Source organism: Homo sapiens, chromosome X (assembly GCF_000001405.40).
Source record: "Homo sapiens chromosome X, GRCh38.p14 Primary Assembly".
NCBI classification, from domain to species: domain Eukaryota; kingdom Metazoa; phylum Chordata; class Mammalia; order Primates; family Hominidae; genus Homo; species Homo sapiens.
Window position 1 is genome coordinate 120034169 of NC_000023.11, and position 20459 is coordinate 120054627.

Here is a 20459-nt window from a genome sequence, read left to right on the forward strand (position 1 = left end):
GCCAACAGTATGGCTGGACAATCTTGCTAAAGAGATTATATATGTGATTCATGGATCCAATCAACCATATCAGCTGAAGGCAGGAATAGAGATGGGTTTATCCAGGAAGGATCTTGTCTAATGACATGGACTCCCATAACACACACGAGACTGATAAGGATTTTGAGAATGTTATATCAACAGAAATACTGGCATCTTGGAGTAAAGGAGATAGATATGGGATGAAATGAAGGAAGACTGTTGGACTTCTGGAAATCTATAGGCAGGATATGAGCTGACAGGGCTACTAGACTGCAAAGACACATTAGCCTTCAAGAAAAAGGAAGAGTGAATTATGAGGGTGGCACAGAAGCTGGTGGATCACTGCAAGACCAGATGGCAGAACATTGAGCTAAAGAGGATTGTTCCTAGGCCTTGAAATCTAATGGAATTAGCTATGCTAATTATTTATTTATTTACTTTTTTGAGATGAAATCTCATTCTGTCACGCAGGCTGGAGTGCAGTGGTACAATCTCAGCTCACTGCAACCTCCACCTGCCAGGTTCAAGCAATTCTCCTGCCTCAGCTTCCTGAGTAGCTGGGATGACAGGAACTCACCACAATGCCCCTCTAATTTTTGTATTTTAGTAGAGACGAGGAGGGGGGTTTCACCATGTTACCCAGGCTGGTCTCGAACTCCTGACCTCAAGTGATCCACTCACCTCAGCATCACAAAGTGCTGGGATTATAGGCGTGAGCCACCACACCTGGCCCTGCCATGCTAAATTTTGAACTTACTTGGGACAAGAAACCACTTTATGCCTCCCATATTCATTCTTTTGGAATGGTAATGTCTTGTAAAAGGAAAATAAATCTCAGGACTCCAAAATCATTAAGCCAAAGGGAAAAGTCAAGCTGGGAACTGCATCAGGCAAACCTACCTCCCATTTTATTCTTAAATAAGATAGCTACAAACAAAAAAAAAAGCTACATACATGTCTCACAATTTGTCCACTGGGACATTCCTTTTGAGCCCCAAGATGTTTACCTTAAAATGGTTCTGTTGAATTTTACCCTGACAATGTAAATTGATAGCTTATCTTCACAGGTTCTAGACAAAGAACAGAACTCAAAGTCATCCTTCTGTTCATCTGAGACAGATGCATATCTGATTGCTTTCCTAATGTAAAAATGCAGATTCACTGAGCTGACAAAGGCATAAGTAACTATTCCTCTACCCTTCTCTCACATGTAAACTGTGTATTCAGTGAAAGGTTTATCAAACACTCAAAATAATGCAACCATTTGTCTGTTATCTACCCACACCTTTAATTTTTTTTCCTTTTCCCCCAATATCTGCCCTTTTGCCTTTAAATACTGAAGTCCACAAAATCTTCTTTGGAAAAAGGCATAGACCTGCCTTCCAGATGCATGTTCTTAACCTTGGTAAAATAAAATTTCCAAGTTAATTGAGACCTAGCTCAGATACTTTTTGGTTTACAAATTGGTAACCACCAAGGGATTCTGAGTGGAGGTGCCCCTGACCTTTGACAAATCTTCTATTACTGCTTGGTACCAGCTTGAGATATCTTTATTGCTCAAATCAATAGGCAGATTTGCTGAGGCCTGGGAACTTCCCCCCTCCAGACAATCCCTTGTAGCAGGACGAGCTGCAGACAAAATCTTTCAGACACTGAGTTGTAGAAGGAAGGGCTTTATTCAGCTGGGAGCATCGGCAAGCTACTGTCTTAAAATCCGAGCTCCTCGAGTGCACAGTTTCTGTCCTTTTTAAGGGCTCATAACACTAAAGATTTCACATGAAAGGGTCGTGATTGATTGAGCAATCTAGGGGGTATGTGACAGGGGCTTCATGCACCGGTAGTCAGAGTGAAACAGAACAGAGCAGGGAGTTTCACAGCGTTCTTCCATACAATGTCTGGAATCTATGGATAACATCGGTTGCTAAGTCATGAGTTGATTTTTAACTACTAGGTTTAGGCCAGGCAGGCCCAGGCCTGGTTTCAGTTCTGGTTTTGGGTCTGGTGCCTGGCTGCCTGCCCTTGGTTTCACTTCCTTGTTTTTTTCTTAAAACAGGTACTGAGTATAAAACAATATAAAACAATATGAGAGGGTCCGTCTCTTCCCTCACCCTGATCTCCCCAAATTTGGTCGATATCTAAGGTTTTTTTTTGCTGTACAACTCCTTTTCTGGAGTTTTACTCACTTTCAACAAGGAAGGTGAGTTTTCCTGCTTCCATGATGATGGAGGGCAGGCAACTCCTTTCTGGAGTTTCAGCTCAATTCCAACAGGGAAGGCGAGTTGGAGTTTTTTTCCTGCTTATAGGCTGGTAGAGAGCAGTGTTGAGCCTGGACTCCATTCCTAGGTAAGTAGCTGAATTGGGGTTTTATCTTGAAAATTCTCCTTAATGACCTAAAGTTAAGATTAACAACCAGCAGCTCTTAATTTCTCCTTACCATTAGAGTGCTCAGGAATTGTATACATAGTATGATCATTTGTTTGTTTTGCCAAACTGTTTTTTCATTTATTTGTTTGTTTTGTTGTTTTGGTCTTTTTCCCATTGGATTTGACTAACTCTACCCAACTATATCAAATGTGAAGGAAAGTTACAAATGGTGAGGAACAACGCCTCTGCATTGGGTAAATTCCTGCAGCTGGGGGGGAAAAGGGAAAAGGATAAACAGCCATCAACAGGAAAAAAGAAAGATTTTGACTACCTGAGGGGCTTTATTTACATAACAAGGCCACCTTTTGCTAGCCAAGCCAAACTGTGCTCCACACTGCAGTTCTGTAGCTAAGGTTTTGCCCTTTTTTCCACCACAACAGCCTGGGTTTGGTTCCTAAATCAAGTTCTTTCTGGTTTGATATTTGTGTTATTTTTGAAATATCAGCAATTTGTTCCAGCTAAAATAGGGTAGTGAGATTTAGAAGAATTTTTTAAGAGCTTAGTGGCTAAAAGTCAGTTTAATTAAAAGCTAATATCCACGATGTGTGTGTGTGTGTGTATATTTAAAAGGCCTTTATGGTTTTTTGTTTTGTTTTGTTTGTTTGAGAAGGAGTTTCACTCTTGTTGCCCAGGCTGGAGTGCAATGGTGCGATCTTGGCTCACTGCAACCTCTACCTCCCGGGTTCAAGCAATTCTCCTGCCTCGGCCTCCCAAATAGCTGGGATTACAGGCATACGACACCACACCCAGTTAATTTTGTATTTTTAGTAGAGATGGGATTTCTCCATGTTGGTCAGGCTGGTCTCAAACTCCCGACAACCTCAGGTAATCTGCCTTCCTCAGCCTCCCAAAATGCTGGGATTACAGGCGTAAGCCACCGTGCCTGGCCTGTTTTTTTTTTCTCTCCTAGTACCTTGTTTTTTGAGAAAAAGGTTTTTTCCTTCTCAGTCAGTCAAATGAATTCTGTTTTCTCCATTTACTTCTGCCTATCTCTCCTTTCTCTTGTTCCCCTCTGCTGCATGAGGGACCCAAAATAGTTTCTAACAGCCTGTAATTCCTTAAATAAAACAGAGAAGGCACTAGAGTCCTTTTTGAGGAGAAACATCTGTTTTTCCTTATGGAACCCCAAGAGTCTAAACAGACAAGTTCCTCTCAGATCTTAAACTGCTTGCTTTTGTACTGTGTTACCTGATTTTTGGACTAAGTTATTACAACAGAGGCTACTCTTCGGGTGTTTAAGATAAGAAAAGGTATACTTTAGACACTTAGAGGAAAGTCTTTGTAACAAAGTGCAGTGCAAATGCATCACATGGTCTAGAATCATGATAATTCTATCTTTTGGAGATCCAGGATTCAGCGTGGGCTCTGCCCAGAGCTGAGATCCAGTTAAAAGCTAGAGACTAGGCTGGGCACAGTGGCTCATGCCTGTAATCCCAGCACTTTGGGAGGCCAAGGTGGGCAGATCACGAGGTCAGGAGTTCAAGACCAACCTGGCCAACATGGTAAAACCCCATCTCTACTAAAAATACAAAAATTAGCGGGGCATGGTGGCAAGTGCCTGTAATCCCAGACACTTGGGAGGCTGAGGGCATGCCCAGCCGATGCTACACTTTTAAACAGCCAGATGTCATGATTACTCACTATCATTAGAACAAAACTAGAGGGGAAATCTGCCCCTATGATCTAATCGCCTCTCACCAGGCCCCATCTCCAACACTGGGGACTACAATTTGATATGCCTTTGCAATATCAATTGCTGCATACCAAGTTCTCTCTGTTTTGGGCCTCTGTAATAGTCACAATGTCAGGTACTGCTGGTGCCAAAGGTGGTATTACGCATTGAGCTGCCTAAAATCAGTGGTAAGTCTCCAAGAAACCAAGGTCTTGTGCACAGGCCAGATGGGGCTATTGAATGGAGAAACAGTCTCATGAAACATTTTGGCTTCCTTAAGCTCAGCAATGATGGCAATTATTCTTTTTCTCCCCTAGGCAGCTGACATTGTTTTTTGGGAAACAACAGTACTAGGTGTTGGTCATCAGATGGGTCCATGGTCTTCTATATTTCTCACTAAGATGGCCATAACTATTGCAATTCCTGTCAGGGCTTGGAGGCAAAGGCAAGTGGGGCTGCACATGGAAAACACATCACTGCCAATATTTCATTCAGTAGTGGGGGCCATGACAACGGAGGTTAGTAGGAGCCCAAAGTCAGAGAACACGATCTGTTTTCTCCTCATCTTGATGCAAGGGTTTGTGGGGATCACAGTCACCTGTGTACTGGTATCTAAAAGGCCTAAGAAGTGCAATTCCTCTCCACTGTTCAGTTGAACTCTAACCTTGGCATAGGGCCTCTGGGTCCCCTGAGTACAGAAGGATCTTGTTTATAACCCCTAAAATCTTTGGATTTTTGTTTGTAACCCCTAATCTTGTTTATATTTGAAAGCTGAGTGTCAGAGCAAAAGTTGCTCAGGATCTCTGATTTGTCTCCAAATCCACCAGGAGAGGTGGAAGGCCATCACTGTGCAGACTCTAGCGGGACCACTTATCAAATCCCCATGGCCTGGTACTTGGCCCTGAATTTTTTAGTGGGGAGCCCATCAATCTGCTTTCGTGGTTCCATTATTGAGTAATCAGACTCAGAGATCTCTTTGGGAAGGCCCTTGCCCAGACAGTCCAGAAGAGGGCACTCAAGTACTATTTTTATGCTCCCTTTTTGGAGGGGAGGGGTCAAATTTTGCTATTTTATCGGAAGCCATTTCTTCTGTGCCTGAGAATTTCTGAGTTAAGATCTGGATCACACTGCAGATTGATGGACTTGACCTCAGGAGGTGGCTTAATTGGGCTTGACAACAAGCAGGAGCAGCATGAACAAACCCGTAAATCTAAGTCTGGTTAATCTTCTCATCTACCGTTCCCACTCCCTCGTAGTAGACCCAAGAGACCACCAGGAGGGCTGCAGGACCTCCATAGTCTCTGCGAAGGTGGTTGAGACATGTTTTTCAGTGACTAGGTACTCATTATGTGTGGACCAAATCTGTCAGAGACCAAATAGTACCCAGCTGAGGAAAGAGATGGTCGTTGGTATACATACACTCTCATCTCCCCACCTTGCTCCTCCTCCTCAGAGAAAGTGGCCACTATCAAGGCACTATGGAGGAGGGGGTCTGTAGTGATGTACCCCTCAAGGAGCCACTTTCCTTTATGAAGTTTATTTAACAAGATTACCTTTTTCGTAATGGAAGCAAACTAGCCAAGTCTCTGTGGTTTCTTCCCCTAAGCAAGTCTTCCTTCTGGCTTGGCTGCTGGGCATTGACCCTATCTAGTGAGATCACTGGACAAAGTGATTCTAAAGAGCTCTACATTATTTTTATTAGAAGCATGAGTCTCAGTAACATGCTGCATGGCATGTTGTCCGTCAGCCCCAGGGAACTGCTTAGATCTAGGAATAGTTTTGGGGTACAGGTCAGTTTACAGGGTCTCCAACGACTTCTGGCCCCATCATCAGAGAACGGTGTCCAGGGAATTGTTTCTGTGGCTTCTTAGAGCCCCTCTGCTGGATCTCTTATTTGATCCACTAGGTTATCTCAGCCGAGGTGATGGGGATAAACAGGAGGACCGATGGTTACCTTGGAACCAAAAGCTTTTATAAACAATTTTCTATCATCCTCCAAGTATACCCTGTGACTTACAATAGCAATTCCTGAGACCTGCTGGCATGGCTGGTAAAGTGCCACGTGAGGTCTGCTAGCACTTCCCAGGACTCACTGGCAGAGTGCCCGGTCAGATCCTCTGACTCTGGCAAATAATCCATTAGCATCCTCCAGGAGTGCCCTGCAAGGTCTGCTTACACCCATCATTAGTGAATTGCCCCACGAGATTTTCAGGCTCTTTGCTCTTCAGAAACGACATTGTGCATAATCAACTACCCAGCTTGCCATTCCAATTTTTCAAGAGCTCAGCTGAGCTAGAGAGAGCTGAGCTGCTGGGTGTCAGAGTAGTCGATTAAGACGAGTCAAAATAAAAGTAACAGTCAGACTTTAATAACTGCCTTTGATAGTATAAGCAAGGGACTGAACCAGAAAAAGTACCGACTCCTCCATTATTCCATTTTTCCACATGGGGTGGCTCCAACAGGGGTCTGACCACAGATGCAGGGCATCATCATCTCACTGTTAAGGGAGCCCTGAACAAGAGGCTCCTGCCATTTTATGGACCCAGGGGCAGGAGGAGGTGACAGGGAAGGGCTAGGAGTAGAAAAGTACTGAGTACTGAGTCAGCTTGAAGAAAAAAATATTTTTAGGCATCCCCCACTCCCACCATGGCAACAAGAGGTCTTAGCTCAGGTGCTTGAGAAAGGCCTCTGCCAAAGGCTCCTGATAAGGCGGACTCCAAATGGAGGCATCTGGTCTAGGAATGCCGACATGTGTGAGAGCATGATCAGTTCGGGACGTCTGAGTCCTTGACTGCAACTCCATTCACAGACTGCAATGCACGGCTGTGCATCAGGTCTGATGTGGGGAGGGCACGTCCCCCCATGATCCCTGCCAGGTAAAGCTTTTGTAATTGCCTATGGCGAGGCCTGAAAGATCACCCATAGGTTTTTGGCCAAGAGTTGAATTCACTCTCTCCAGTGGTCCTAGCACTTCCTGTGAGAGGTCTTGCTGTCATTGTCTCTAAAAGCATGAAACAAAGGAAGTCAGATCTCTGCCCCTTTGGAATGCAGCTACTGTGGGGCTACGTGTTTCTAGTTTCCATTACAGAAATACTGAATCCACCCGTGCCCCTACCACACCCACACCGGGAACTCAGGAGAAGGGGAGGCAGGGCTGTGGTTTCTGGCCTGCTGTGGCACTAGAAGGTTCATAGCGGTGAGTCTGATCGGCTTTCTGGGTGTCAGACCAGACGGAAGAACCAAAGCCAGTCACCATCATCAGTAGTATTCTAGCTCTGGAGCTTACGTGTTCACCAATGACAGTGTCTGCCCAAATCTTCCTTCTGGCTTGGCTGCTGGGCATTGACCCTACCTAGCGGAAGCTTAGGACACACCTATCCCTGGAATTCTGGGCAAATTCTCCCAGCTCAGGAGAGTGGTGGGCTGTTTTTGGTTCCTCTGCTTTTTAAATTCTATCTGTTATGGTTAGTATCAGGCCTCTGAGCCCAAGCTAAGCCATCGTAACCCCTGTGACCTGCACGTATACATCCAGATGGCCTGAAGCAAGTGAAGAATCACAAAAGAAGTGAAAATGGCCGGTTCCTGCCTTAACTGATGACATTCCACCATTGTGATTTGTTCCTGCCCCACCTTAACTGAGCAATTAACCTTGTGAAATTCCTTCACCTGGCTCCAAACCTCCCCCACTGAGCACCTTGTGGCCCCTGCCCCTGCCCATAAGAGAAAAACCCACTTTGATTGTAATTTTTCACTACCTACCCAAATCCTATAAAACAGCCCCACCCACCCCTATCTCCCTTCACTGACTCTCTTTTTGGACTCAGCCCGCCTGCACCCAGGTAAAATAAACAGCCCCGTTGCTCACACAAAGCCTGTTTGGTGGTCTCTTCACATGGACGTGCATGAAATTTAGTCCCTTAATCATCATCACTGTGGAAGGTAATGTTTATTAAACACCTACAGCATGGCAGGCCTTGTTCTGAGTGTTCTACTTGAATCTCTTCATTTCATCTTCTTTTCAGCCCTATGAACTAATTACTGTGAAAATTCCATTGTACAGATGAGGCTCAGAAAGCTAAAACAACCTGCCTAAAGTCACAAATCCAGTAAGTGGCAGATCTGTGACTTGAAACCCTCTGTCTGCATTGAGAGTCTCTGTTCCTCCTATTTAGCCACACTGACTCCCATACTTCTGAAACCGCCTTTGCAAAATTATGACTAAGACAGTGAAAGAGATTTAACTTAACCAACTCCATTTTGCTTCTAACCTCCAAGCTGTCCTTGTTCATTCCTGGGCGTAGGCCCAACTAACCTTGGAGAAAAACTTAGTTTATAGTTTGAACAAAGATGGTAATAGCCTTTCCCAAAGCAGACTTCCTTCTTGCCTGGGAACTAGATTGCCTTTGTAGGACCAACATTGGCCACAAGACTAGAAATTATAGTTTAGGAGTCATGCAGCTGGAGGCTACAAGATTCTAACCCTTCCTAAACTGCTCCTAAGATCAGTGGTTGAGATATTTTGTAAACCCTGCACTTGATGGATCAGCTGGCACCACCCAAATGGATAAACTGGCTCATCTGATCTTGTGGCCGCCACCCAGGAACTGACTCAGCACAAGAAGACAGCTTCGACTCGCTATGATTTCATCTCCGGCCAATCAGCACTCCTGGCTCACTGGCTTCCCCCCACCCACCAAGTTATCCTTAAAAACTCTGCTCCCTGAATGCTCGAGAAGACTGATTTAGGTAATAATAAAACTCCAGTCTCCCACACAGCCGGTTCTGCATGAATTACTCTTTCTCTATTGCAATTCCCCTGTCTTCATAAATCGGCTCTGCCTAGGCAGTGGGCAAGGTAAACCCCTTGGGCAGTTACACTTCCTCCTCCCACCCCAGTGCCCTGACCCCTCCATGCCATCTCAGCAGCATGATGTTTACATATGGGTCCTAGATTTGTGTAGTGTTTTCCAGGCAGCAAGCTTAGTATTTCTTCCTGGATACAGAGGACATTCAACGAAGCACTTCCCTTTCTGTATTGCAATTAAGACCAATTGTCTTAAGGTGGGAAACTACTCCACATACAAAGCATAGTGGTTAAAGGCAGGGGTTCTGATACTTGGAGATGTCAGGGACTAATAAAGTTAATAAAATTGGGTCCTGACATAGGTTATTATCTTTTTATTTCACTAATTAAGGACATTTAAAACAACACCATTTACACTACTATTAAAATAATAGTAGACTGAACATGGTTGCTCACACCTGTAATCCCAGCACTTTGGGAGGCCGAGGCAGGAGGATCACTTGAGGTCAGGAGTTTGAGACCAGCCTGGGCAGCATAGGAAGAACTAGTCTCCACACATAATAAAAAAGTTAGCTGGGTGTGGTGGTGTGTGCCTGTGGTCCCAGCTACTTGGGAGGCTAAGGCAGGAGGAGTACTTGAGCCTGGGAGGTTGAGGCTGCAGTGAGCTGTGATTGCACCACTGCACTCCAGCCTGGGTGACAGAGTGAGGCTGAAACGGCTTTTGCAAAAATTACAACACTGAGAAAATTATAGCAGTGAAAGAGATCTGATCATGCCAAAGTCCCATCTTGCCTTTGGCCTTCAAGCTGCCCCTAATTATTCCTGGGTTAGGCCAAGCTAACCTGGAGAGACATTTAGTTTATACTTTAAATGATAATAGCCCTTTCCCAAAATTCAACTGCCTTTGTAAAGCTAATGAGAGACCACCAGGCTAGGGGGATAGAGGAGCCTAAATTCTGCTAAGGTGTAGACATAAACGATTGCCAGCTATTGTTCTGGAGGTCACAAGATATGCTACTTCCCCAATTACTCCTCCAGATAACATTACTATTGTAGAACCTAAGACTGGCCTTTTGAGATATCTTTTCAGATTTGTTTGCCTGTCTGACACCAATGGCTTCACCTGGACCTGCCAGCCACTCCTGTGGCCCCACCCAGAAGATATTCAGTGGGCAGAAGGACCATTCCTGCACCCTTATGATTGCACCCCCAACCAATCAGCAGCAAGCACCCATTGCTTAGCCACCCTAACTCCCTCCCTAAAACTATCTTTGGAAAACCCTACCCCTAAATGCTCAAGAAGATTGATTTGAGTAACAATTCTATCTCCCATGTGGCGTGGCCAGCCTTGCATCAATTAAATTCTTTTATTTACTACCATGCCATGGTCTTCATTTGTGCAGCAGGCAGGAAGAACCCATCAGGTGGTTACAATCCTCTCTCAAAATATTTAATAACAGAAATAATATCTAAACCTTGTAAAGAAAGATTACAATGTGGCAGGTTCTGCTCTCAGTCTTTCAATGAAATATCTGATTCAATCCTCATAAAAATCCTGTTCAGTAAGCTTGTTATCCCCATTTTATAGGCAAGGAAATTGAAGAAAAAGAAACAATATGTAAATTGCTTCTGCCTCTGCTGATAACCATTATAGTTAGCATACTATAATATACTGTCTCTCTCTTTCATAAAAGACAAGAGTAACCTTTAGGCCCACAAGGGAGGCCCTGATCTCAGAATTTAGGAATAGCCAAGTAAAACACAGACACCTCTGAGTTTGAGCCTTGGGAAAATGAGCATTGTGTCTGTTTCCTGAAATTTAAGATGAAAACACTAATATCTGTTGTGAGGAGTAAATGACAACATATACCGAGTATTTACACAGTAACTGGCACATAAGAACCTCCGAATACATACCAGCTGTAAGGCTTATTGTCACTCTTCCTCCTTGCACAGCCCTATGAGTTCATCTCTTGCTGGGAAGGAGCTGAGTATGGATACTACAGACTGGTCCTGTTATTGAGGTCAGATAAATTTGATGTTCCTCCTTCCCTCACTCTCTCCCATTTCCTCCTCCTTGACCGAACTGAAACGGGCAGAAATATTTGGGCTTTACTTCCCATTGGTTGAAATTGTTGCTATAACAGCATTCATAAGCATTCTTTCTGGGAACCCTGGGTAAGAGCTGCTTAAAGACTTCTGAGGCTTCTTCAGCTACTGCTGCTGGTACTCCAAACAAGGATCTGATCATTCATGTATCAGAGTTTGTTAGGAATGGGGACTGTCTACAAAAAAAAGTACCTACAGTGGTTCTCCCCATTCATCACCAAGACCCCACACTTGACCATGCTCCCAGCTCTTTCTGCCCATTCTGCCTACCTAGCATCTCATTAGGAAGGTACAGATAAAAAAAGAGCTAGAAAAGGTCATTGGGAGGATCAAGAATGATTTGTCCCCACAGATATGTAAGGATAAAATCCTAGTATTTTCCTTCTCCCGTTGGAACACAGGGCTCCATGGAGAAAGTTCTAAAGAGGGTCTTCCCATGGACAAAGACTTCGCCTTAATTGCTTGGTGTTGGCGGTCATGATTTTGACTCCTGGTTAATTCATCAAGAGCCATTTTGCCAAAATCCAAGTCACAGAATGACCAAGTGAACAAGTGAGCCATTCTTGGAGCAATCAAGTTGCCAATGACTAGTTCATGCAAGCTTAAGAAATTAACTGATTTACAAAACACTTTGTTGTTTTTGCAGAGTTTACTACAATTTACTCTGAGTGAATGGGCATGGCATAAGGGCTATGGAGAGCCAGTTCTATAATGTTCTGTGCCTTCAGACATATCCTCTCCCATCGGTCGGTCTTTCCCCAGTCTGGAATGGGCAGTTTCAGGAGACTGTTTTCCCCCAGTAGATGACCCTCTCTCCCATCCCCAACCCACAGCTACAGCAACAGGAACTTAGCTGAAGCCATCCAGCTGACGCCCAAGACCATTCCAGTCAATGAACTAAGGACAAGCGTATGAGTGTCCCCCCACCCCCATCCCAACCCCATGCTCCAGACCTACCCTCATGGCCACTGAGTGGGACACTGGAAACTTTGCCTTCCTGAGAGAACGGGGCTCTCTCTGAGAGTGGAAACATCTCTGTTGTCTTGGCTCCCAGACTGCTGCCACCACAGTGCAACCACCCAAAGCAAAGGGAATCATGGAAGCTATTTCACGTATGCTGACAAAGCCCTGCCCCAGTCCTAGGGGACCTCCCACCAATGTGAAGAGGTGTGTGTGTGTGTAATACAATTGTGGGGGCTTTTTTCTTTTTTTTTTTTTATTGTACTTTAAGTTCTAGGGTACATGTGCACAACATGCAGGTTTGTTACATATGTATACATGTGCCATGTTGGTGTGCTGCACCCATTAACTCGTCATTTAATATTCGGTATATCTCCTAATGCTATCCCTCCCCCCTCCCCCCACCCCACAACAGGCCCCGGTGTGTGATGTTCCCCTTCCTGTGTCCATGTGTTCTCATTGTTCAATTCCCACCTATGAGTGAGAATATGCGGTGTTTGGTTTTTGGCCTTGTGATAGTTTGCTGAGAATGATGGTTTCCAGCTTTATCCATGTCCCTACAAAGGACGTGAACTCATCATTTTTTATGGCTGCATAGTATTCCATGGTGTATATGTGCCACGTTTTCTTAATCCAGTCTATCATTGTTGGACATTTGGGTTGGTTCCAAGTCTTTGCTATTGTGAATAGTGCCACAATAAACATACGTGTGCATGTATCTTTATAGCAGCATGACTTACAATCCTTTGTGTATACACCCAGTAATGGGATGGCTGGGTCAAATGGTATTTCTAGTTCTAGATCCCTGAGGAATCGCCACACTGTCTTCCACAATGGTTGAACTAGTTTACAGTCTCACCAACAGTGTAAAACTGTTCCTATTTCTCCACATCCTCTCCAGCACCTGTTGTTTCCTGACTTTTTAATGATCGCCATTCTAACTGGTGTGAGATGGTATCTCGTTGTGGTTTTAATTTGCATTTCTCTGATGGCCAGTGATGATGAGCATTTTTTCATGTGTCTTTTGGCTGCATAAATGTCTTCTTTCAAGAAGTGTCTGTTCATATCCTTTGCCCACTTTTTGATGGGTTGTTTTTTTCTTGTAAATTTGTTTGAGTTCATTGTAGATTCTGGATATTAGCCCTTTGTCAGATGAGTAGATTGCAAAAATTTTCTCCCATTCTGTAGGTTGCCTGTTCACTCTGATGGTAGTTTCTTTTGCTGTGCAGAAGCTCTTTAGTTTAATTAGATCCCATTTGTCAATTTTGGCTTTCGTTGCCATTGCTTTTGGTGTTTTAGACATGAAGTCCTTGACCATGCCTATGTCCTGAATGGTATTGCCTGGTTTTCTTCTAGGGTTTTTATGGTTTTAGGTCTAACATTTAAGTCTTTAATCCATCTTGAATTAATTTTTATATAAGGCGTAAGGAAGGGATCCAGTTTCAGCTTTCTACATATGGCAAGCCAGTTTTCCCAGCACCATTTATTAAATAGGGAATCCTTTCCCCATTTCTTGTTTTTGTCAGGTTTGTCAAAGATCAGATAGTTGTAGATAACAGGACTCTGTTCTGTTCCATTGGTCTATATCTCTGTTTTGGTACCAGTACCATGCTGTTTTGATTACTGTAGCCTTGTAGTATAGTTTGAAGTCAGGTAGCATGATGCCTCCAGCTTTGTTCTTTTGGCTTAGGATTGACTTGGCAATGCAAGCTCTTTTTTGGTTCCATATGAACTTTAAAGTAGTTTTTTCCAATTCTGTGAAGAAAGTCATTAGTAGCTTGATGGGGATGGCATTGAATCTATAAATTACCTTGGGCAGTATGGCCATTTTCACGATATTGATTCTTCCTACCCATGAGCATGGAATGTTCTTCCATTTGTTTGTATCCTCTTTTATTTCATTGAGCAGTGGTTTGTAGTTCTGCTTGAAGAGGTCCTTCACATCCCTTGTAAGTTGGATTCCTAGGTATTTTATTCTCTTTGAAGCAATTCTGAATGGGAGTTCACTCATGATTTGGCTCTCTGTTTGTCTGTTATTAGTGTATAAGAATGCTTGTGATTTTTGCACATTGATTTTGTATCCTGAGACTTTGCTGAAGTTGCCTATCAGCTTAAGGAGATTTGGGGCTGAGACGATGGCGTTTTCTAAATATACAGTCATGTCATCTGCAAACAGGGACAATTTGACTTCCTCTTTTCCTAATTGAATACCCTTTATTTCCTTCTCCTGCCTGATTGCCCTGGCCAGAACTTCCAACACTATATTGAATAGGAGTGGTGAGAGAGGGCATCCCTGTCTTGTGCCAGTTTTCAAAGGGAATGCTTCCAGTTTTTGCCCATTCAGTATGATATTGGCTGTGGGTCTGTCATAGATAGCTCTTATTATTTTGAGATACATCCCATCAATACCTAATTTATTGAGAGTTTTTAGCATGAAGGGCTGTTGAATTTTGTCAAAGGCCTTTTCTGCATCTATTGAGATAATCATGTGGTTTTTGTCATTGGTTCTGTTTATATGCTGGATTACGTTTAGTGATTTGCGTAAGTTGAACCAGCCTTGCATCCCAGGGATGAAGCCCACTTGATCATGGTGGATAAGCTTTTTGATGTGCTGCTGGATTCGGTTTGCCAGTATTTTATTGAGGATTTTTGCATCGATGTTCATCAGGGATATTGGTCTAAAATTCTCTTTTTTTGTTGTGTCTCTGCCAGGCTTTGGTATCAGCATGATGCTGGCCTCATAAAATGAGTTAGGGAGGATTCCCTCTTTTTCTATTGATTGGAACAGTTTCAGAAGGAATGGTACCAGCTCCTCCTTGTCCCTCTGGTAGAATTCGGCCATGAATCCATCTGGTCCTGGACTTTTTTTGGTTGGTAAGCTATTAATTATTGCCTCAATTTCAGAGCCTGTTATTGGTCTATTCAGAGATTCAACTTCTTCCTGGTTTAGTCTTGGGAGGGTGTAGGTGTCGAGGAATTTATCCATTTCTTCTAGATTTTCCAGTTTATTTGCGTAGAGGTGTTTATAGTATTCGCTGATGGCAGTTTGTATTTCTGTGGGATCAGTGGTGATATCCCCTTTATCATTTTTTATTGCGTCTATTTGATTCTCCTCTCTTTTATTCTTTATTAGTCTTGCTAGCGGTCTATCAATTTTGTTGATCTTTTCAAAAAACCAGCTCCTGGATTCGTTGATTTTTTGAAGGGTTTTTTGTGTCTCTATTTCCTTCAGTTCTGCTCTGATCTTAGTTATTTCTTGCCTTCTGCTAGCTTTTGAATGTGTTTGCTCTTGCTTCTCAAGTCCTTTTAATTGTGATGTTAGGGTGTCAATTTTAGATCTTTCCTGCTTTCTCTTGTGGGCATTTAGTGCTATAAATTTCCCTCTACACACTGTTTTGAATGTGTCCCAGAGATTCTGGTATGTTTTGTCTTTGTTCTCGTTGGTTTCAAAGAACATCTTTATTTCTGCCTTCATTTCATTATGTACCCAGTAGTCATTCAGAAGCAGGTTGTTCAGTTTCCATGTAGTTGAGTGGTCTCGAGTGAGTTTCTTAATCCTGAGTTCTAGTTTGATTGCGCTGTGGTCCGAGAGACAGTTTGTTATAATTTCTGTTCTTTTACATTTGCTGAGGAGTGCTTTACTTCCAACTATGTGGTCAATTTTGGAATAGGTGTGGTGTGGTGCTGAAAAGAATGTATATTCTGTTGATTTGGGGTGGAGAGTTCTGTAGATGTCTATTAGGTCCGCTTGGTGCAGAGCTGAGTTCAATTCCTGGGTATCCTTGTTAACTTTCTGTCTCGTTGATCTGTCTAATGTTGACAGTGGGGTGTTAAAGTCTTGGAGTCTAAGTCTCTTTGTCGGTCTCTAAGGACTTGCTTTATGAATCTGGGTGCTCCCGTATTGGGTGCATATATATTTAGGATAGTTAGCTCTCTTGTTGAATTGATCCCTTTACCATTATGTAATGGCCTTCTTTGTCTCTTTTGATCTTTGTTGGTTTAAAGTCTGTTTTATCAGAGAATAGGGTTGCAACCCCTGCCTTTTTTTGTTTTCCATTTGCTTGGTAGATCTTCCTCCATCCCTTTATTTTGAGCCTATGTGTGTCTCTGCACGTGAGATGGGTTTCCTGAATACAGCACACTGATGGGTGTGCTCTTTATCCAATTTGCCAGTCTGTGTCTTTTAATTGGAGCATTTAGCCCATTTACATTTAAGGTTAATATTGTTATGTGTGAATTTGATCCTGTCATTATGATGTTAGCTGGTTATTTTGCTCATTAGTTGATGCAGTTTCTTCCTAGCCTCGATGGTCTTTACAATTTGGCATGTTTTTGCAGTGGCTGGTACTGGTTGTTCCTTTCCATGTTTAGTGCTTCCTTCAGGAGCTCTTTTAGGGCAGGCCTGGTGGTGACAAAATCTCTCAGCATTTTGCTTGTCTGTAAAGGATTTTATTTCTCCTTCACCTATGAAGCTTAGTTTGGCTGGATATGAAATTCTGGGTTGAAAATTCTTTTCTTTAAGAATGTTGAATATTGGCCCCCACTCTCTTCTGGCTTGTAGAGTTTCTGCCAAGAGATCAGCTGTTAGTCTGATGGGCTTCCCTTTGTGGGTAACCCGACCTTTCTCTCTGGCTGCCCTTAACATTTTTTCCTTCATTTCAACTTTGGTGAATCTGACAATTATGTGTCTTGGAGTTGCTCTTCTCGAGGAGTATCTTTGTGGCGTTCTCTGTATTTCCTGAATTTGAATGTTGGCCTGCCTTACTAGATTGGGGAAGTTCTCTTGGATAATATCCTGCAGAGTGTTTTCCAACTTGGTTCCATTCTCCCCGTCACTTTCAGGTACACCAATCAGGTGTAGATTTGGTCTTTTCACATAGTCCCATATTTCTTGGAGGCTTTGTTCATTTCTTTTTATTCTTTTTTCTCTAAACTTCTCTTCTCGCTTCATTTCATTCATTTGATCTTCCGTCACTGATACCCTTTCTTCCAGTTGATGGAATCAGCTACTGAGGCTTGTGCATTCATCATGTAGTTCTCGGGCTGTGGTTTTCAGCTCCATCAGGTCCTTTAAGGACTTCTCTGCATTGGTTATTCTAGTTAGCCATTCGTCTAATTTTTTTTCAAGGTTTTTAACTTCTTTGCCATGGGTTCGAACTTCCTCCTTTAGCTCAGAGTAGTTTGATTGTCTGAAGCCTTCTTCTCTCAAGTCGTCAAAGTCATTCTCCATCCAGCTTTGTTCCATTGCTGGTGAGGAGCTGCGTTCCTTTGGAGGAGGAGAGGCGCTCTGATTTTTAGAGTTTCCAGTTTTTCTGCTCTGTTTTTTCCCCATCTTTGTGGTTTTATCTACCTTTGGTCTTTGATGATGGTGACGTACAGATGGGGTTTTGGTGTGGATGTCCTTTCTGTTTGTTGGTTTTCCTTCTAACAGTCAGGACCCTCAGCTGCAGGTCTTTTGGAGTTTGCTGGATGTCCACTCCAGACCCTGTTTGCCTGGGTATCAGCAGCAGAGGCTCCAGAACAGCGGATATTGGTGAACAGAAAATGTTGCTGCCTGATAATTCCTCTGGAAGTTTCATCTCAGAGGAGTACCCGGCCGTGTGAGGTGTCAGTCTGCCCCTACTGGGGGGTGCCTCCCAGTTAGGCTACTCGGGGGTCAGGGACCCACTTGAGGAGGCAGTCTGTCCGTTCTCCGATCTCAAGCTGCATGCTGGGAGAACCACTACTCTCTTCAAAGCTGTCAGACAGCGACATTTAAGTCTGCAGAGGTTTCTGCTGCCTTCTGTTTGGCTATGCCCTGCCCCCAGAGGTGGAGTCTACAGAGGCAGGTGGGCCTCCTTGAGCTGCGGTGGGATCCACCCAGTTCGAGCTTCCCGGCCGCTTTGTTTACCTACTCGAGCCTCAGCAATGGCAGGCGCCCCTCCCCCAGCCTCGCTGCCGCCTTGCAGTTTGATCTCAGACTGCTGTGCTAGCAATGAGCGAGGCTCCGTGGGCGTAGGACCCTCCGAGTCAGGCGTGGGACATAATCTCCTGGTGTGCTGTTTGCTAAGACCATTGGAAAAGCGCAGTATTAGGGTGGGAGTGACCTGATTTTCCAGGTGCCATCTGTCACCCCTTTCTTTGACTAGGAAAGGGAATTCCCCGACCCCTTGCGCTTCCCGGGTGAGGCGACGATGCCTCACCCTGCTTCGGCTCATACTCGGTGCGCTGCACCCACTGTCCTGTACCCACTGTCTGACACTCTCCAGTGAGATGAAACCAGTACCTCAGTTGGGAATGCAGAAATCACCCATCTTCTGCGTCGCTCACGCTGGGAGCTGTAGACTGGAGCTGTTCCTATTCGGCCATCTTGGCTCCACCAGTTGTGGGTTTTGTTTTCTTCAGTGCCATCTTGACCCAATTTTGAGGCCCTGGCTAGAGGCTAGTCAGTTCCTCTTCTTGAGCAGCTGATTAAATCCACATCTCAACCATTTCCCTTATGGGGCTCTCACATTCCTGGCAACTATGTACCTGCCCTAATCACCACAGGGATAGGTACCAGACAACTAGGGACAGCCCTTTTGCCTAAGTTTCAAATTAACAAATCCACAGGGAGCCCATGAAACCTCCCTTGCCATACCTGGACTGCCTCCTACAGGTATAGCTCTATCCTGCGTTACAACTTCAGGTGTGGCTCTACCTGGCAGCCTTCTCTCATTTGGAGCTGTAAGTAACAAAGAGTTCTGCCTTTCATCTATCTGAATATATTTATGTGGTATCCTTCCATCCAAGGACCCTATGTTCCTGTCTAACATTTTATAATTATGAAACAATATGGGCATAAAGAGGACAATAAGGGAATCTAGTCCCCTGCTTGTTTCTGATTTTACATGAGGCTCTCCAAATTTAAGGTGGGTAGGGGACCATAAGTGGATATAAATACAATTGCCAACAGCCCACAAATGTGGCTCTGGGCACTATGTCAATGAGTTAGCCCTGCTTCACAAGGAACAGCTCCAGTTAAGTAAAAGATTGCTGTTTAATACCACCAAGTCACCCTTGAATTCTTTCCTGGGCAAAGCCAAGAACTCTCCCAGGCTAAGCCCCAGTCTGGGGGCTTGCCTGCCCCACGTCATCTGAACACATACTCCAAGTAATTTTCTAGGTTTAACAGAATTTCAATTAACACAGAAAGATAAGCAAGAAAACACACGGTCGACCTAAAAATAAGTATGGAATTCACTTAACTACATATTTATTAGAAAGACAAAACATTAATCTTTAAGACTGACGATGACTGAAAAATGAAATACTAGTCAATCAAAAAGAGATGTCTGAAGTAGCTGTTGGCATATATGACATTAACAGGTGCCAAATATATATGTAGAATGATGGAAGAAATATTGTTTTCCTTGTTTTGAAAAAAGAAGAATGGCTTCTGATTGCTTCTGAATGCGAGTACATGAAATTGCAGGAAATACTCCACAAAGTAGTTGTATATATACTGTTACATAAACCATATCAATATACTGAAACACTAAACAAAATATGCATATCTTGGAATGATGGGATTCAAACAAGCAGACCTATGGCTGTATTCAAGCTTTGATCATGTCTTACTTTTTAACACGTGAGACTTCCAAATCCCAGTGATACTGTGAGTTCACAAACTGCTTAGCATTCACCCGGGCAAAGGAAAATGGCTTTATCTTTTGAAAAAGATGTCTTAATCCACAGTTAACTTTTTTTTTTTTTTAAGAGAGAGGATCTCACTCTGTTGCCCATGCTGGAGTGCAGGAGCGCGATCATAGCTTATTACAGCCTCGAACTTCTGGGTTCAAGTGACACTATTAACGTTATTTTCTAAAACAACATTTTTTCAGTTTTCCTTTCTTATTATATTCATTGCATATATGTTGCCTTACTTCCTAACAGACAATAAATGGATGGGTTAATGATTATAAAGAAAAAAATGGCAGCACAGAAAAGGGAATCTAATGAGCAAATAGAAGAATGAAAGAAAAATATCTAGTACATACCCAGCAGTCTATTCTGTTTAATTTGTATCCAGAAATATTGTGTACTTATATATTAAAATGAATCCTTAATTCAGCATAATACCCAAGGGTTAGATTTAGTCTGGTTAATGGACTGTTTTAAAGAAATGAGATTGAACAAGAATCCCATGTCATTGTTTATTTCCTCATTTTCTTTTTATTTTAATTAACTAATTTAGAGATGGGGTCCTGCTCTGTTACCCAGGCTGGAGTGCAGCGGTCTGATCATAGCTCACTGCAGCTTTGAACTCCTGGGCTCAAGCAATCCTCCTATCTCAGCCTCCCAAAGAGCTGGGACTACATACAGGTGCATGCCACCACACCCAGCTATTTTTTTCCTAGAGATGGGGTCTCACTATGTTGCCCAGGCTGGTCTCAAACTCTTGGCCTCAAGCAATCCCCCCACCTCAGCCTCCCAAAGTGCTGGGATTAC

The 20459-nt window shown here is 43.5% G+C and overlaps 1 long non-coding RNA gene across 1 annotated transcript in view, besides 3 other annotated features; it reads left to right on the top strand.

Moving 5' to 3' along the window:
* Positions 1-2067: 2067 nt before the first annotated feature.
* RHOXF1-AS1 (RHOXF1 antisense RNA 1) overlaps positions 2068-20459 on the top strand; it is a 110620-nt gene continuing 92228 nt past the window's right edge. Inside the window, exon 1 of the long non-coding RNA NR_131238.1 lies at positions 2068-2364. This is a non-coding gene — a long non-coding RNA (RHOXF1 antisense RNA 1). The remainder of the gene's footprint in view (positions 2365-20459) is intronic.
* Positions 9638-10139: an enhancer, noted in NCBI's record as "NANOG hESC enhancer chrX:119177771-119178272 (GRCh37/hg19 assembly coordinates)". NCBI's record gives its function as "activates a minimal SCP1, AML or CMV promoter by ChIP-STARR-seq in primed H9 embryonic stem cells {active_cell/tissue: H9 hESC(primed)}" and the evidence as "EXISTENCE:reporter gene assay evidence [ECO:0000049][PMID:30033119]".
* Positions 17438-17939: an enhancer, noted in NCBI's record as "H3K4me1 hESC enhancer chrX:119185571-119186072 (GRCh37/hg19 assembly coordinates)". NCBI's record gives its function as "activates a minimal SCP1, AML or CMV promoter by ChIP-STARR-seq in naive H9 embryonic stem cells {active_cell/tissue: H9 hESC(naive)}" and the evidence as "EXISTENCE:reporter gene assay evidence [ECO:0000049][PMID:30033119]".
* Positions 17940-18439: an enhancer, noted in NCBI's record as "H3K4me1 hESC enhancer chrX:119186073-119186572 (GRCh37/hg19 assembly coordinates)". NCBI's record gives its function as "activates a minimal SCP1, AML or CMV promoter by ChIP-STARR-seq in naive and primed H9 embryonic stem cells {active_cell/tissue: H9 hESC(naive and primed)}" and the evidence as "EXISTENCE:reporter gene assay evidence [ECO:0000049][PMID:30033119]".